This window comes from Homo sapiens, chromosome 5 (assembly GCF_000001405.40).
Source record: "Homo sapiens chromosome 5, GRCh38.p14 Primary Assembly".
NCBI lineage: Eukaryota > Metazoa > Chordata > Mammalia > Primates > Hominidae > Homo > Homo sapiens.
Window position 1 is genome coordinate 176,030,623 of NC_000005.10, and position 17,792 is coordinate 176,048,414.

Sequence of the window (17,792 nt, forward strand, 5' to 3'; positions counted from 1 at the left end):
TGAGGGTGTGAGGGTGGGGGTGTGAGGGTGGGGGTGTGTGGGTGAGGGTGTGGGTGGGGGTGTGTGGGTGAGGGTGTGGGTGGGGGTGTGTGGGTGAGGGTGTGGGTGGGGGTGTGTGGGTGAGGGTGTGGGTGGGGGTGTGTGGGTGAGGGTGTGGGTGGGGGTGTGGGCGAGGGTGTGGGTGGGGGTGTGGGGGGGAGGGTTTGGATGGGGGTGTGTGAGTGAGGGTGTGGGTGAGGGTGTGGGTGGGGGTGTGGGCGAGGGTGTGGGTGGGGATGTGAGGGTGGGGGTGTGTGGGTGAGGGTGTGGGTGGGGGTGTGGGCGAGGGTGTGGGTGGGGGTGTGAGGGTGGGGGTGTGTGGGTGAGGGTGTGGGTGGGGGTGTGTGGGTGAGGGTGTGGGTGGGGGTGTGTGGGTGAGGGTGTGTGAGTGAGGGTGTGGGTGGGGGTGTGGGCGAGGGTGTGGGTGGGGATGTGAGGGTGGGGGTGTGTGGGGGAGGGTGTGGGTGGGGGTGTGTGGGGGAGGGTGTGGGTGGGGGTGTGTGGGGGAGGGTGTGGGTGGGGGGGTGAGTGCCTGTCTGGCTCTCCTGGGTGGGGCTGGATGAATGTTTGGGCACAGGCAGCAGCTGTCACATGGCCTGGCTGTGGGTTTGGGACGGAAACCAGGTAGGTGTGCCGTATCAGGCACAGCTACAAACTGTGCCAAGGAAACAGTCAGAGCAGGGGCCCGGGGAAACTTCTGCCTTGGCAGAAGGTACTGGGGAGATGGGATGATTTGGGGAGGTCTTCCAAGGCCCATGGTGCTTCATGGAGCCAGGGCCCAGGGCAGGGAGGGCTATAACCCTGGCTTGCCTGATTGGCTGAACACAAACAGGATGGAAGGGGGTGTGAGCAGCCCGCTAGGTGGATGCCTAAGTGAGGAAGGAATGGGTGGCCACGTGGCTGAGACCCCCAAGACCAGGACCCCACTGTCAGGCCAGTGGCTTCCATAGGCCAGTAAGAAGCGTTCTCCTTTGGGCACTGAGGCCATCGGCTTCAGCTTCACACCCTTTTCCAAACAGACAGAAGTCCTTCAGGTAACCTCAAAAGTCACTTCTCCTGGCCTTCCCCAGAGGGGAAAGGAGAGAGCGGTGCTTGTGGCAGGGGGCCCTCAGAGCTGGTGGAGGGCACAGCAGAGAGACTGCTTGCATGTGGGAGGCCCCCAGCAGACCTTGCCCAGATGTCAGCCCTCGTTTGAGGCAAACTATAAAATTATTACAATTTAGGCCAGGCGCAATGGCCCATGCCTGTAATCCCAGCACTCTGGGAGGCCATGGCAGGAGAATCTCTTGAGCCCTGGAGTTTGAGCCTGCAGTGAGCTATGACTACACCACTGCACTTCAACCTGGGCAACAGAGGAAGACCCTGTCTCTAAAATAAATAAATAGGCTAGTCGTGGTGTCTCATGCCTGTAATCCCAGCACTTTGGGAGGCCAAGGCAGGTGAATCACCTGAGGTCAGGAGTTCAAGATCAGCATGACCAATATGGTAAAACTTCATTTCTACTAAAAACACAAAAATCAGCCAGGTGTGGTGGCACGTGCCTGTAATCCCAGCTACTCAGGAGACTGAGGCAGGAGAATCACTTGAACCCGGGAGGCAGAGGTTGCAGTGAGCTGAGATCACACCACTGCACTCCAGCCTGGGCGACACAGCAAGACTCCACCTCAAAAAAATAAAAAATAAATAAATAAATAAAAGATGGAAAAGCTATGTTCTTAACATTTTTGAAATGATAATTCATACTAAAAAATGTTACCAATATTAATGCACAAAGCATTTTATAAGTTTTAGACTATTAATAAAAGATACTAAAACTGAATTTAAGTATTTGTAGCCATAATTAACACTATAAGTTTGTATACCTATAATGTAGCAACTAATTATCCAAAAATTTAATAAATGACAAAATAAAATTTTGCAAACAGATTTGTAATAACCAGAAAGAAATCTGTATTGGCAATTAATGTAACATAATAAAAATAATTTGTTATGGTCATCTGCTAAATGCTAATTAATGTAAAATGTTAAAAGATTATCTTAATTATGACATCTTAATTTTTAATGGTTTTAAATATTATAAATATAATAAGGGGTTTCTAAATTTAAAAGAGGAACGACTAAATTTTTCAGAATTAGTTCATATTTCTTGTTGTACAATATAAGAACACCATTCCACTTTTCCTGTTAGATTAGGAACCCTCCCTTATTATCTCACTGAAGGAGAATGCTGGATGGTGCTACAAAGAAGGCAATCTAAGGACTCCAGAACTGAAGTGGCACTGCATGTCACTTCCCTAACTCAACTGAAAAAGCAGACAAAAACCTAGCGTTTTCTACCCTCAAGCCAGCAAGAAACACAGTCCAGGTAAGCTCGTTTCTTCCCCAGTGGAGCGGGAGTCTATCCAACAAGAGGCAACCATTCTGCCATGATCTTAGAGTAGAACTGTTCAGAAGTTTGCTAACAATAAGCAGCCAACATAGACACATTCTTTCTCTAGTAAATCTAAAATTCCCTTTTTCCCCAGAGGCACTGGGGTGCCTGAGGGGCATGTAGCAAAAGTGACCCCAGCCACACCACGCAAACTAGCCAGGAAACCTTTTTGTCTTCACAGATCTGAGAGTCCCTGAGAACCCAGAGACAACACAGAGGCAGCAGGACATGAACAGGAGAGTCCCAGCATCAGTTCCTGGCCATAGAATCCCTCCTGAGCAGCAGGCAGGACAGAACCCCTTTCAGCAACCAGCCTGCCGGAGAAGCCTCTGCCCCTGTGGTGTGAGGATCCACTTCCCCCAGGTGACACCATGGGCAGGTGGGCTGAAGAAGTGGGAAGGCCAAATCGACTGGCCCAGGAGGATGCCTCTTTGATGATACAGGTGACACAGGTCTAAGCCTCCCTTCTTCCACAGGAGGCCCAGCCAGGATGCCTCTTTGATGATACAGGTGACACAGGTCTAAGCCTCCCTTCTTCCACAGGAGGCCCAGCCAGGATGCCTCTTTGATGATACAGGTGACACAGGTCTAAGCCTCCCTTCTTCCACAGGAGGCCCAGCCAGGATGCCTCTTTGATGATACAGGTGACACAGGTCTAAGCCTCCCTTCTTCCACAGGAGGCCCAGCCAGGATGCCTCTTTGATGATACAGGTGACACAGGTCTAAGCCTCCCTTCTTCCACAGGAGGCCCAGCCAGGATGCCTCTTTGATGATACAGGTGACACAGGTCTAAGCCTCCCTTCTTCCACAGGAGGCCCAGCCAGGATGCCTCTTTGATGATACAGGTGACACAGGTCTAAGCCTCCCTTCTTCCACAGGAGAAACTAGGTGGCCCAGAGGCTGCCCAGAGGTAGGGGATCTGCCACAGCAGCCACCCTCCTGGGAGGTTCCCTTTCTTCTCCTTGATGAACTCCCTCCAACACACACCTTCCCAGGAAAGCACCCTTTATCTTGCATGGGAAGGGGATCCCACCACACCAAAACCCAGCCAAAGAAGCCTTTTGTTCCTTAAGGGATAAGTTATCAAAACAAACACAAGCAAAAAGACACACAACTAGTCACCCCCTAAATTCTGTTAAGAATGAGACAATGCTGCCACTCACTCCTGGCTCAGGCACCAGCAGGAGGAGGACACCCTCCAGAAACTGCAGAAGAAAGGGGAGGACTCCTCCTTGCCCTGGCTGCACCTCCACCACTGTCACTGAGGCCTGCAGTACAGAACCAGCAGCTTCCTACACACCCCAGGCCAGGCCAGGCCCCAAAGCTCTCCTACTCCCCCTTCCCGGCCCCCAGACTTGCTGCTGTTACCACTATTACCGCCGATGCCAACACAACCAGTGCTTCTGTCACCTTCCATGCACCCACCCACCCTCCAGGGCTCCTTCCACCTGGCCTCCACGGGCACCCTCCTACCATTCCTGTCGAGCTGCAGTCTCCATCGCTGTCACTGCCACAACCACAGGAAGTGAGCCACAGAGCCACGCCATCTACAGGCTCCAACCTCCAGCTCACCACAGGTGACTCCTACTTCACCAGCCTGGCTTGGAACAGCTGGAGAGGAAAAGCCAGAAAAACCTACAACGGGATGCAGAAAGTGGTAGTGTTAAAGCCTCGCCTTGTCATGCTGGCCACTGGGTGGCAGCGGCCAGTTTCAGCAAAGGCATTCACACTCACCTGCCAAAGTCCAGCCTCTCCTCCTGGCCCAAGCTGGCCTCCTGACCTGGGGTGGGGACTGGAGACACCACAGTGCCCAACACTCCCTGGGGAGCAGGAACAGCAGAAACTCACACTCAGCCAGTACTCCCCACCCAAGTACTGGTTCCCATTCCTGACTCCTCCACCCACAGGCCCTGAGCCCCCGTGGTGCCCACTACTCCTGCTCCATGCCTGGAGGTCCCAGATGGTCTCCACAACATGGAGCGAGAGGGCAAGGGCTGGGGAACCACAGTGGGTGTGGGGGCCCTGCCATGCTTAGAGGATTGGCATGAAAACTCTGTGCGCCCGCCACACTCCCACACGAGCAGGAGGAGTTCTCTCTCTAGAGCCCTGAGTCTGAGAAAAGGAGAAGGTCCCCTTCCTCGGAGGCAACCGTTGTCCCGGCCACCTCCACAACCTGCCTCTGGTGGCAGCAGTGCAGACCCCGATAGCGCCCCTAACCTGGCCCCCGCTGCCGGCAATGCAGCCCCCGGATTGCACCCACAACACACCCAGAGACTACCGTAGTAGGCAATGTAACCCCAATAGTGCCCCCAAACCACCACTCTGCCCCCAGCAGTGTAGCATTTGATGGTGTCCACAGCCAATCCCGCTACCGGCATTGCAGCACCTGACAGCGCCCCAAACCAGCCCCCCACCAGGGCCACAGGCAGCACAGCCCTGGATAGCGCCCCCAACCTGCTCCCATCGTGGGCAGTGAATGCCCAGGATAGTGCACCCAACCAAACCCCCCACCCCACCTTCCCCTTTCCCCCTTCCCCCACAAGCACTGCAGCATTTGACAGCTCCCCTAAACCTCCCCCGACTGCCGGCCCACATTGTTGCTGGCATTGTAGCCCAGGATAGCACACCCAACCTGCCCCCTGCCTCTGGCAGTGCAGCAAATAACACCCCTAACCTGCCCCCATGAGCCGCTGGCTGTGCACAATAGCGCACACAACCTGCCTCCAACCCCTCGACCTTGGGCACTGTAGGCCCTGATAACTCAGCCAACCTGCCCCCCACCCCCACAGCAATGCAATGCCAGATAGCGCCCCCACCAGCCCCTCCCTACCCCTGCGGCAGGCACTGCAGCCTCAACAGCTTACCAAATATGCCTCCCCAACCCCCTGCAGGAGGGCAGTGCAGCCGCAAAGAGTGCACCTACCCGGCAAACTTTCTACCACTCTAACAGACCTGCAGTCTCGGTCGCCACCACCAACCGCAGCCAGAGGAGCCTCGGTGGCCAAGGCTCCAGCCTCCAGCGTGGAGCAGGGGGCCCCCCTTCTTCTAGACCGCTAGCCAGTCAAGAGCAGCTCCCGCTGCCATCCTCCCTTCTACCGCTCTGGCCGTGCTGCCTGCTGTCTCTGTCACCACTGCCAACTGTAGCGAGGCGAGCCACAGTGTTGCAGGCTCCAGCATCCAGCTCCCCCTTCTCTTGATCTGCTAAGCTAGGAACAGAGTAGCTCCGCCGGCCGATTTAGGAAAGCCTAGGATGGCGTGAGGCCTCCTCAGCATGCACATGGGGTTATGCACAAGGATTCTGAACTACATGTTCTGATTGGATGAGAGAAAACCTCTAGGCCTTCTCTGATTGGACTTTATTTCATACGCTGACTGGTTGTCCTAAGACTTGCTCTCATCCAATCAGAACATGCTAACAAAGTCCAATCAGAGTAGGCCTCTGCGTTTTCTCTTACCCAATCCTGGAACATGTAGTCCAGGAACCTCATATGCATAACCTCAGTATATAAATGGTGCTGAAGGGGTGTCAGGCCGTTCTAGGCTCATGCGTGTCTGCGCGCTGGGCTGCTCCGTTCCCGGCTTAGAGGACCAGGACAAGGGCTAGCCACCGCTGCATGCTGGAGGCTGTGGCTGCGGCACCACAGCTCGCCTCGCTGCGGTTGGTGGCAGCGACGGAGACTGCAGTGTGGCTGGAGCGGTAGGAAGGGGAAAATAGTTTTGGGGTAGATGGAGGAGTAAAGAGGGTGGTTAGTGCCAAAGGGAAAAGAGGATGGCGAGCAGGAGAAGGTGTTGCAAAAAAGACAGTGAGGAAAAGACGGTGGGGAAAAAATGTTGGGGGTAGGTGGAGGGGGAAAAACGGTGGTGAACAGGAGGGAGAGAAGGTTTTGCGGAAAGATGGTGGGGAAAAAGTTTTTGGGTAGATGGAAGGGGGAAAGAGAGGGTGGTGGGGGGAACGGGGGTGAGCAGGAGGGAGAGAAAGTTTGCAAAAATACAGTTGGGAAAAAAAGAAAGGGAAAGAAGAGGGTGGATAAAAAGATTTTGAGTAGATGGAGCGGGAAAAAGGGGTGGCAAGTGGGAGGAGAAAAGAGGGTGCAGAGAGGGAGGGGGAGGAGAGAGTGGCGAGCAGGAGGGAGAGAAGGTTTTGTGAAAAGGCAGTGAGGAGAGAAGCTTTTAAGTAGATGGAGGGGAAAAGAGGGTGGCAAGCGGGAGAAAGATAAAGAGGGTGGCGAGCAGGGAGAAAAGGTTTTGGGAAAAACCAGTGGGCAGAAAAGAAAGTGCAGAAAGAAAACACGGTGGGTAGAAAGTGGGTAGATGGAGGGGGAAAAGAGGGTGGCAAGTGAGAGGAGAATAGAAGGTGCCCAGGGGGAGTGGGGAGAGTTGGGAAAATGATGATAGGGAAAATAGTTTGGGGTAGATGGAGGGCAAAAAGAGGGTGGCAAACAGGATAGAGGAAAGAAGAGGGTGAGCGGGAAGCAGGGAAGGCCTTTGTGAAAAGACGGTGGGGGAAAATTGGGGAGGTAGATGGGTAAACGAGGGTGGTAAGGAGGAGTAGGAAGGCGGCTTTGCAAAAAGATGGCTGGGATGTTTTTGGGTAGATGGAGAAGGGAAAGAGGATGGCAAGGAGGAAAGAAGAAAAAGACGATGGGGAAACAGTTTTTGGGTAGATGGAGGGGGAAGGAGGGTGGCGAGCAGCAGGAGTGGAGAGAAGGCTTTGGGAAGAGATGGGAGAAAATGTATTTGGGGAGATGAAGGAACAAAAGAGGGTGATGAGAGCCGGAGGGGCAAAAAAGGGTGGCCAGGGAGAGGGAGAAAAGACGGTGGGGAAAAGGTTTTGGGTAGATGGGTGGGGAAAACTGTAGTGAGCGGGTGAGTAGAGAAGGCTTTGCGAAAAGATGGTGGGGGAAAAAGTTTTGGGGTAGATGGAGGAAGAAAAAGGGTGGCGAAAGAGAGGGGGCCAAAGGTCGTCGGGAAAAAAAGATGGGGAAATAATGGTGGGGGACAAAGGTTTTGAGTAGATCTTTTTCTGATTTTTAAATCAGATTATTTGTATTTTTGCTTTTGAGTAGCTTCAGTTCTTTATATGTTGTGTGTATTAACCCTTTGCCTGATGTATAGTTTGCAAATACTTCCATTGTCTGGTTTGTTTCTTCATTCTATTGATTGCTTCCTCTGCTTTGCAGAAGTTTTAAGTTTAATGTAATTGCATTTCTCTATTTTGGCTTTTGTTGCTTGTGCTTTTGATGTCTGTTTCAAAATCCCTTGTCCTAACCAATTCCATGAAGTATTTATCCTATGTCTTCTTCTCTAGTAGTTTCATAGTTTCAGGTTCTACATGTCAATCTTTGAGTAGATTTTTGTATATGGTAAGATAAAGATCTAAATTTATTCTCGTACGTGTGGGTGTTGTGTTTTCCTAGCGTTTACTGAAGAGATTGTCCTTCCCAAAGGTGTGTTCTTGGTGCCTTTGTTAAAAATGAGTTGACTGTAAATGCGTGAATTTATTTCTGAGTTCTCTACACTGTTTCATTTGTCTTTGTCTCTGTCATTCATCTATGTCTGTCTGTCTGTCTCTGTCTCTCCTTGCTCCTTTTTTCGCCAGTTCCATGGTATTTTGGTAGTATATTTTGAAACCAGGTATTGTGATGCCTCCAGCTTTTTTCTTTTTATTCAAGATTATTTTATCTGAGGTATTTTGCATTTCCATGTGAATTTTAGAATTTTTTTTCTATTTCTATGAAGAATGTGTTTTGTAATTTAACGTGGATTGCATTGATTCTGTAGCTCACATTGGGTGATACAGATATTTTACCAATATTCTTCTAGTGCTTGGACATGGGATATCTGTCCATTTACATGTGTCTGCTTTAATATTTTTCATCTATGTTTTATAATTTTGTTGTGGGATCTTTAACCTTTTTGGTTATCTCTAGGTATTTTTTTGGTGGTAGCAGTAATGAAATAGCTTTCTTGATTTCTTTCTTAGGTGTTTCACTATTGGCGCATGCGTGTGCTACTCATTTTTGTATATTGATATTGTGTCTAGTAACTTTACTATATTTATTGTTTCTAGTAGGTTTTGTTGTATAATCTCTAGGATTCTCTCCATATGTAAAAGATCATGTCACTTGCAAACAGAGACAATTTGAATTCCTTTTTTCCCATTTGGATGCTTTTTATTGCATTCTCCTGTCTAATTGCTCTAGCTCAGACTTCCAGTACTATGATGAATAAAAGTGGTAAAAGTAGCCACACTTGGGCCAGGCACAGTGGCTCATGCCTGTAATCCCAGCACTTTGGGAGGCCGAGGTGGGCGGATCACGAGGTCAGGAGATCAAGACCATCCTGGCTAACAGAGTGAAACCCCGTCTCTACTAAAAATACAAAAAAAAAAAAAAAAAAGCTGGGCGTGGTGGCAGGCGCCTGTAGTCCCAGCTACTCAGGAGGCTGAGGCAGGAGAATGGTGTGAACCTGGGAGGTAGAGCTTGCGGTGAGCTGAGATCACGCCACTGCACTCCAGCCTAGGTGACAGAGCAAGACTCCACCTCAAAAAAAAAAGTAGCCACACTTGTTCCAGATCTTAGAGGAAGAGTTTTTAACTTTTTCCCGTTGTTTATGATGTTAGCTGTGTTTTTGTCATATATGGCCTTTATTGTGCTGAGATATGTTTTTTTTCTGTACTCATTTTGTTGAATTTTTATTATGAAGGAATGTTTAATTTTTTTCAGCATCTACCGAAATGATTATATGGTTTTTTCTTTGATTCACTGAAAGTGGTGTAGCACATTTATTTATTTGTGTTTATTGAATCATCCTCATATTCCTGGGATGAATCCCACTTGATTATGGCAAATGATATTTTTATTGTCTTGTCAAATGCATTTTTCAAGTATTTTGCTGAGGATTTTTGCATCTGTGTTCATCAGGAGTGTTTCCCTGTGGTTTTCTTTTTGTGTTGTGTTTTGGTCTGCTTTTTGTACCAAGGTAATTCTGGCCTCATAGAACAAGTTTGGAAGCATTCCTTCCTCTTCATTCTTTGGGGGAATGTTTTGGTAAAATTGGTATTAGCTCTTTTAAAACATTTGGTTGAATTCAGCAGTAAAACCATGATTCTTGTGGGTTTCTTTGACGGGAGACTTTTTATTACTGCTTTAATTGCATTACTCATTATTGGTCTGTTCAGGTTTCTTATTTTTCTATCATTCTATCCACATCAGCCCAGGGATGCAGGGGAGGTCCCAGCAAGTGGCCACGCCAGCTGCTGCCCTTCTCCCCTGGCCATTGACACATCTGGTTCACCTCAGCATCCCTAGGTGTTACGAGGAGGGCAGAGTGTAGCCAGCCCTGGCCTGGGAATGCACCAACACGGGGTCCCTGGTGAGTCCAGAGCTGGGGCTGCAGCTAGAACTTCAGGGCAAGAGAGACCCCATGCCCTTCACTTCCTGGTCCCGGTCCTGAGGTTCCAGGAGTGGGATCAGAGTGGGCACCCGTGAGAAGCTGGTGGCATGGGAGGGCTGTGCGTTCTGCTGAGGCACCGTGTCCCCACTGCTGTGCTGTCTGACAGGCCCCTGTCTCTCTTCTTGCTCCTGGGTGATAGCTGTGGTCATGGACATGTTCACCCATGTGGACATCTTCAAAGACCTGCTGGATGCCGGCTTCAAGAGGAAAGCAGATTTGTACATCATCGTGGACGGGAGTAAAGTCAAGTACGTTCTGCATATGTGTGAGCAGACCCGCATGCACCTGGGGCACCTCAAGGTGAGCAGGCTCCTCACTTGCCTACGTGGCCAGATGGCAGGGGTCATTCAGTTTGTCAAACACCTCGAGTACCTGCCTGCTCTGGACGGAGTCCTGTGCCAGGCACTCAGAGTCCAGTAATCCTAGAGCCTCTGCTTGAATTCCCTGAGGGACAGGATACTTGCCATGTCTGATGGGACAGAGATAAGATAAACATTGATGAGGTGCTTGCTGACCAGGTGCTGGAGCTCATGCCAAGTGCTGCATCATATGTTATTTCAGAGCAGCCCATGCCACATTGGTTACCTGTCTGCTTGCATACCCCTGGTCATAGTGTGCTCACTATGTCCTCAGGTAGCTCGTGGCCTATCTGGAGAGATTCAGTTCCCAGGAAGTCTTTCTTGGGTTAAGCCAAAACCTGTCTCCTTAGAATGTCCATTTACTGGTTTTAGGATCTGGCTCAGACAGAAGCAGCTCTCCCTCAGGCTGAGGCCAGGGAAGGCTTCCTTGATGTCTGCACAGTTGAAGTGGATTTGAGGCACATGAGCAGAGTAGAACCTTTAGGGTGGGGAGAAACCACGGAACAGAGGTGGATCAGAGACGGCTGCCAGTGGGGTCAAGGTGGGCTGCAGGTCCCCAGTGCTGCTTTTCTGTGTGTCCCTGGGCATGTCACCTCCCCTTTCTGGGCTATACAACATCTCATTGCTCCAACTCTGTTCTACCCAGACACCCTGGCATTTGGTGTCTGGCTAATTTTTTTTTTTTTTTTTTTTTGAGACCGAGTCTTGCTCTGTCACCTAGGTTGGAGTGCAGTGGTGCGATCTCGGCTCACTGCAACCGCTGCCTCCTGGGTTCAAGCAATTCTCCTGCCCCAGCCTCCCAAGCAGCTGGGACTACAGGCGCGCACCACTACGCCCAACTACTTTTTGTATTTTCTGTAGATACGAGGTTTCACCATATTGGCCAGGCTGGTCTCAAGCTCTGGACCTCGTGATCCACTTGCCTCGGCCTCCCAAAGTGCTGGGATTACAAGCGTGAGCCACCGCACCCAGCTAGTGTCTGGCTAATTTTTTTGTATTTTTAGTAGAGACAAGAGTTTCACCATGTTGGGCAGGCTGGTTTCGAACTCCTGACCTTGTGATCCATCCACCTTGGTCTCTGAAAGTGCTGGGATTACAGGTGTAAGCCACTGTGCCCAGCCAATAAAAGCCAGTTTTAAAACTGAAAAAACAGCTTTGAAATTGAGGGCTGCATTTTTACAGAGAATATTTTCCAGCATGTGCAATCTAACATAGTAGCACTATACTCCTCACTTAAACAGACTAGCTTTTATAATGAATGATTTTGTTTTAAAATGTGAGTAACAGCACACCAGGGGCTGTGACAGCATGATCGCTTCTGTTAACATCTCTTTCTAATACCGTAGTCCCACGTAAGCTGCATTTGGCTTTCACGGTTTCACTTACCTACAGGCAATCCTGGTCTGAAAACATTAAATGAAAAATCCACAGATAAACAACTGACAAGTTTTAACTTGCTGTGCTGTTCCAAGTAGTGTGGTGGGAGCTCCTGTCATCCCCCTCTACTCAAGGCCCACCCAGGACGTGAATCATCTCTGCCCACAACATCTACCTGTCTACCTTCCCACTTGTTAGTCACTTAGCAGCTCTCTGAGTCGTCAAATCCTCTGTTGAGATATCACAGTGTTTGTGTTCAAAGAAATCTTGTTTTACTTAATGGCCCCAAAGTGCAAAAGTACTGATGCTGGCAATTCAAAAATGCCAAAGAGAAGCCATAAAGTGTTCCTTTTAAGTGAAAAGGTGAAAGTTAATCATAGGGCATGCATGTGTAGAAACAAAGATAATCTATATTGGATTTAGTACTATCTGTGGTTTCAGGCATCCTCTGAAGATCTTGAAATGTATCCCCTATGGATAAAGGAGGACTACTATATTCTCAATGGATTTTGCAAGAAGAAAATTAATCATTCACAAAATATTTTAACCTTAGAATTTAAATAAATGTGTATATTCTCTACAAGTTAAACACAAATATTGTAATAACCTATGGCCACTTTTTCTTATTTTTATGCCATTTGAGTAATGACTGGTATTGATTTGCTGAGGTTCAAATTTCGAATTCTAGTTTTTCTTAAACATGACTTATATTAATAAGAATATGTTCAACTCTGGTGTGCTTTATCAGTCAAAAACACAAATTAATTATGCAGAGAATATTATTTTCTTTTTTGAGATGGAGTCTCCCTCTGTCGCCCCGGCTGGAGTGCAGTAGCGCAATCTTGGCTCACTGCAAACTCCACCTCCCGGATTCAAGTGATTCTACTGCCTCAGCCACCCAGGTAGCTGGGATTACAGGCATGCCCCACAATGCCTGGCTAACTTTTCTATTTTTATAAAATCTAAAACCTGGGACCTGGTATAAGGCCTGGGTATCCACCCGGGGCTTGATTTTAGCAGGGGCCTGAAGTTCTTCTAGCACCTGGTGTCCACCTGAGGCCTGGGTGTCAGCCTGGGACCAGATGTCCAGCTGGGGCCTGAGTGTTTCTCGGTGCCTGAGGACTTTCTGGGCCCGGATGTCCACGTGGGACCTAGATGTGTACCTGGGGTCTAATGTTCACCAGGAGCCAAGGTATCTACCTGGGGCCTATGTCCACCCAGAGCCTGATATCCATTTGGAGTCAAGTGTCCACCTGGGGCCCAGGTGTCCTTCAGGAGCCTGGTTTTGACCTGGGGCCTCAGTGGACACTTGGGGCCTGATGTCCACCCGGTTCCTAGGTATCCTCCTGAGGCCTGGTGTGCTGCTGAGGCCTGGTTTCGGCCTGGTTTGTACCTGGGGTATGGGTATCCACCTGGTTACTGTTGCTTACCTAAGACCTGTTGTCCACCTTGGACCTCTTGATCCTCTGGGGCCTTGTGTCCACCTGTGCCCGGGTGTCAGCTTGGTACCTGATATCCACTTGGGGCCTCCACAGCCACCTGGGGCCTTGTGGTCCCTTGAAGCCTGAAGCCCTGGGTATAGGTATCCACCTGGGTCCTGGGTGTCCACTTGGGGCCACATGTCCAGCTCTGGTCTGAGTGTCCCCATGGGGCCTGATACGCACCAGGGGCCTAGGCATGTACTTGATGCCTGGTGTCCATATGGAGCGTGCTGTCCCATGAGGATTGATACTCAGATGGGGCCTGGTATCCACTTCGGGCCTATTGTACTCCTGGAGTCTGATACACATCCTGTGCCTGCTGCCTACATAGGGCCTCATGCTCCCCTTGAGCCTGGATGTCCACCTGAGTCCTTGGTATTCTCTGTGGGATGGCTGTCCACCTGTGACTTTGTGTCCAGCTGTGGCCTGGGTGTGAGCCTGGTGCTTGATGGACACCTTGAGTCCGTGTGCACCTGGGGCCTTATGTCTATCTGGGGACTAGTGTCTACTTGGAGCTGATGTCTATATAGGGACCGTGTGCTTATCCAGGACCCGATGTCCATCTGGAATCAGATGTTCCCTTGGGGTCAGGGTGTCCGTCTGGGGCCTAATTCTCACCAGGGACCTGCTGTTCACCAGGAGCCTAGGCATCCACCTGTGGCCTGCTGTCCACTTGGGGCCCCCTGTTCACCTTGGCCCTGATACTTACTTGGGGCCTGGACATCCACTTGGAGCCTGGGGTTCAAGTGGCGCCTGGTGTTCCTCCAAGATGCCTGATGTCCATCTGTGGCCAGGTTTCCACCTGGGGCCTGGTACGTAGCTGGGGCCTCGGGTCCACCTGGGGCCTGGTATTTACCTGAGGCCTGGGCGTTCACCTGGGGCCTGATGTCTAGCTGGGGCCTCATATCCACCTGGGGCCTCCATGCCAAACTGCGACCTGATGTCCAGCGGAGGCCTGATGTCCATGCAGGAACTGGAGTCCCTCTGGGACCTGTTGTCCACCCGGGGCCTGGTGTCCAACGTCCACCTTGAGTCCAGTGTGCACTTGGGGCCCGACGTTTTCCTGGGGCCTTTGTGTCCGCTGGGGCCTTATGCCCACCTGGAGGGGGTGTGTCCCACGCACCCGCCCTTGTCCTGGGGAGAGTGTGTAGAGAGTTGCTCTGGCCCTGCCCCTTGTCATCTGGGAATTGCCCCTCCTGCCAACGCGGTGGGGAAGGTGTCATCTTGACTCAGGTGGGTGCTGGGTTTCAAACTGGGGCCTTATATTTACCTGGGGACTGCTGTCCATGTGGGGCCTGGTGTCCACGTAGGTGCTGGGTATTCACCTGGAGCCTCACGTCCACCTGGGGTCAAAAGTGTTCACCTGGGGCCCGATGTTACCTAGCACAGGCGTTGCACAGAATACACACAGACTGGAAAGGAAGAAGGAATGGAAACGTGGGACCTACGTATTCAGTATAAGAAAAGTGAAAATAGCAACCAGGAAAGAACACAAAGAAAGTACGAGAAGGATGGTATGAAGAAGACACAAACCAACCTAGGCCCAGTTTCCTAAGAAACACTGGAAACCACACTGAAATGAAATGTCAGACGGAATCAAGCCATCTCTGGATTTTCCCCTGTGGGCCGCTCAGTGTCAGCGGGGATGGGAGCAACTGTGGGCCGCTCAGTGTCAGCGGGGATGGGAGCAACTGGGACTCTCCTACATCACTCTTAGGGCTAGAAATTGCTAAGGCCGCCCCGAAAACATCCTACTCACTTTTCAGAAAATCACAACTTGCAAAGTACAGCAAAACCAAGGAAGGCCAAGAGCTTACCTTGGAGAAAGTTCTCGCAGCCCTGGGCGCCACCGGCTGGCTGGTTCTGGGGCTGCTTTGCCAGCAGGCAGCCTTTTCTCAGCTGCCTTTCTTCGCATCAGGTGGCGGCGGCTGATGGCCCGTGTGGCCTTTGCCCTTGAGGATTAGCCCAGCAGGTTGACTTAGGCCTGGAGCAGCGGTAAGGGCAGCGTTCTCTGGCGCTGCCCTTTTCCTGTTGGCAGCAGGATGGGGCGAAGCTCCAGGGCCCCAATTCCAGCACCTGATTTGGAAGCATCCAGCGGCCTGTGGCACGACGGCGGTGGAGGCGAGCCTGAGCGACTGCAGCTGCATCTCTGTTCCCAGTGCCATCTCCAGATCTTCATGCCCTGAGCAGTGACCTGGGCCAAGAAGTCACTTTCCTGGATGGTGTCTTCAGGAGGGCATGTTCCTGAACCGTGAGGGGTGGGTGTTCAGCAACTCTCCACAAACTTTTCCCAGGAATTGGGCGAGGTGCATTGTGCCACAGCCCTTTTTGGGTAGGCATAAGGCCCCACGTGGACACCCAGGCCTCAGTCAATATTCAGGAGCAAAGTGGAGACCTAGGCTCCAGGCAAACATCAGGCCTCAAGTGGACAGTCCCAGGTGAACATTGGACATCCAACACCAGATTGACGCTATGTCTTAGGTGTATGCCAGTTCCCAGGTGGACTCCAGTTTCCAAATGGACATCAGGCACCAGGCGGACATCAGGTTCCCAGTTGACAAATAGGTTCCAGATGGACAACAGGCCCCAGGTGATGCCTAGGCCCCACGTTGACACCTGGGCCCCAGGTAGACATGAGGCCCCACGTGGATAGTTATGTTCCTGGTGAACATTAGGCCCCAAATGGACACTCTGGTTCCAGGTGGATATATGGCCTCAGGGGGCCATCGGGTCCCGGGTGCGCACTGGACTTGACGTATACATCAGGCACGAGGTTTACACCCAGGCCCCAGGTGCACTGAATGTCACAGATGGACTTCAGGCCCAAGGAGGATACCAAGGCTTCAGGCGGACACCCAGGCCTCACGTGGATATCAGGTCTTAGGTGAAACTCAGGCTCTAGTTGGATACCGAGTCTTCAAGTGGACATAACAATGCCCCAGGTGGAACCCAGGCTTTAGATGGATACCAGGCTCCAGGTGGACATTAGGCCCCAGGGTGACACCAAGGCTCCACGTGGACAGTAAGCCCCAGGTGAACCCCAGACCTCAGGTGGACATCAGGCCCTAATGGATGCCCACACTGCAGGTTGACATCAGGCCTCAGGAGGGCACCAGCCCTCAAGTGACCACCAGGTCCCAGGTGGCTGTGTAGGTCCCAGGTGGATATCAGGCATCAGGATGACTCTCAGGGCCCAGGTGAATGCCAGGCCACAGATGAACAGCAGGTCCAAGGGGTGGACACAGGCCCCCGGTGAACACAAGTTCCCAGATGTATACCCAGCCTGATGTGCACCTGCAGACCAGAGTTCGCCTAGGGTCTGATTTCTCCCTGGGGCCTGGGTGTTTTCCTGGGACCTATAACCTGCCTGGGGTCTGGTGTTTACCTAGGGATGGGTATCCACCCTGGGTCTGATGTCCGCCTGGGGCCTGGTATCCATCTGGGGCCTGGGTGTCACCCTGGGGCCTTCTGTTGATCTAGGGCCCGATTTCCATCCTGAGACTGGGTGTCCACCTGGAGTCTGTGTCCCCATGTGACTTGGTGTCCAACTGGGACATTGGACACCGGTAAACACCAGGCCCCGTGTGGATTACTGTGGTACACCTGATGTACAGCTTGAATCCAGTGTCCACTTGGTCCTGATGGCTACCTTAGGCCTGTTGTTCACCTGGGGCCAGGCGTTGTGCTGGGCCCTAATGTCCACTAGGAGCCTGGTGTTTACCAGGGGGTCTCGACTCCCACCTGGGGCCTGGGTGTTTCCATGGGATCTGATACCCTTCTGTGGCTTTGGTTTCCATCTGTGGCCTGATGTTCACCTGGCATCTAGGTACCCATGTGAGGCCTGGTGTCACCCTGGGACCTGACGTTCACCTGGAGCCTGGTGTCAACTTGGGGCATGGGTGTTCACCTGGGGCCTAGTAGTTTACATGTGCCTTCATGTTTACTGAGTTCTTAAGTGTCAACTTGTGTCTTGATTTCTACCATGAGCCTGGTGTCCACCTGGAGCCTGGGTGTCACCCTAGGGCCTGAAGTCCTGGGGACTAGCTGTCCAATTGGAGCCTAGGTATCCACCTGGGTCTGAATTTCGCCTGGGGTCTGATGTCCATTTGGAGTGAAGTTTTCACTTGAGTCCTCATGTAAACCTGGGGCCTGGGTGTCAACCTTGAGCCTGATGTTCACCTGTGGTCCTGTGTCCACATTGGGACTGATTATTCACCTGGTGCCACGTGTGCACGTGGGGCCTGAGGGTTTACCTGGCTCATGCCCACCTGGGACCTTATGAGTTCCTGGGGCCTAGGTATACTCCCTAGGCCAGGTGCCCACCTGGGTTCTCATATCCACGTTGGGCTTTGTGTTCACTTGAGGCGTGGTATTCTTCTGGGGGTGGGTGTTCACCTGCGACCTCATACCTACTTGGGGCTTGGGTATCCTCCTGGGGCCTGATATTCCCCTATGACCTGGGGTGCAACTGGGGCCTGGGTGTCAGCCTGGCAGCTGAGTTCAGTGTCCACTTGGGGCCTGGTATTTAGCTGAGGCCTGACACCCACCTGAGGCCTGGGTGTTTAGGTGTGGTCTGTTATCTTTCTGTTGCCTGGGTTTTTATCAGGAGCCTGATGTTCACCAGGCCACCTAGGTGTCCACCTGGACCAA

At 51.6% G+C, this 17,792-nt stretch overlaps 1 protein-coding gene and 1 long non-coding RNA gene across 6 annotated transcripts in view, besides 1 other annotated feature; one reads left to right on the plus strand and one right to left on the minus strand.

Annotated features, from left to right (window-relative positions):
- LOC124900194 (uncharacterized) overlaps window positions 1–5,847 on the minus strand; it is a 29,722-nt gene extending 23,875 nt beyond the window's left edge. Inside the window, exons 1-3 of one of the 2 annotated variants that reach the window (XR_007059067.1) lie at window positions 5,394–5,847; window positions 4,205–4,290; window positions 3,944–4,105 (exon numbers count right to left, since the gene is read on the minus strand). This is a non-coding gene — a long non-coding RNA (uncharacterized LOC124900194). Of the gene's footprint in view, window positions 1–2,386; window positions 4,106–4,204; window positions 4,291–5,393 lie in introns of those variants that run through there. The other variant, XR_007059066.1, reaches the window with a different exon arrangement.
- A 156-nt stretch (window positions 5,848–6,003) lies between these two features.
- Window positions 6,004–14,824, plus strand: LOC124901141 (protein FAM83G-like). Of its 4 annotated transcripts, none has more exons than XR_007059069.1 (3): window positions 6,004–6,167; window positions 10,065–10,225; window positions 12,103–14,824. XR_007059069.1 is itself a non-coding variant. In XM_047417998.1 (3 exons), the coding sequence occupies exons 1-3, from the start codon at window positions 9,823–9,825 to the stop codon at window positions 12,223–12,225; spliced, it is 306 nt and encodes a 101-aa protein (XP_047273954.1). In that variant the 5' UTR covers window positions 9,443–9,822; the 3' UTR covers window positions 12,226–12,349. The 4 variants fall into 4 exon arrangements, 2 of the variants coding, with proteins under 2 accessions (XP_047273954.1, XP_047273955.1); XM_047417998.1 differs by lacking the exon at window positions 6,004–6,167 and adding an exon at window positions 9,443–9,844 and having other exon boundaries at window positions 12,103–12,349; XR_007059068.1 differs by having other exon boundaries at window positions 10,065–12,349.
- Window positions 14,154–14,654: an enhancer, noted in NCBI's record as "H3K4me1 hESC enhancer chr5:175471779-175472279 (GRCh37/hg19 assembly coordinates)". NCBI's record gives its function as "activates a minimal SCP1, AML or CMV promoter by ChIP-STARR-seq in naive H9 embryonic stem cells {active_cell/tissue: H9 hESC(naive)}" and the evidence as "EXISTENCE:reporter gene assay evidence [ECO:0000049][PMID:30033119]".
- Window positions 14,825–17,792: the final 2,968 nt, after the last annotated feature.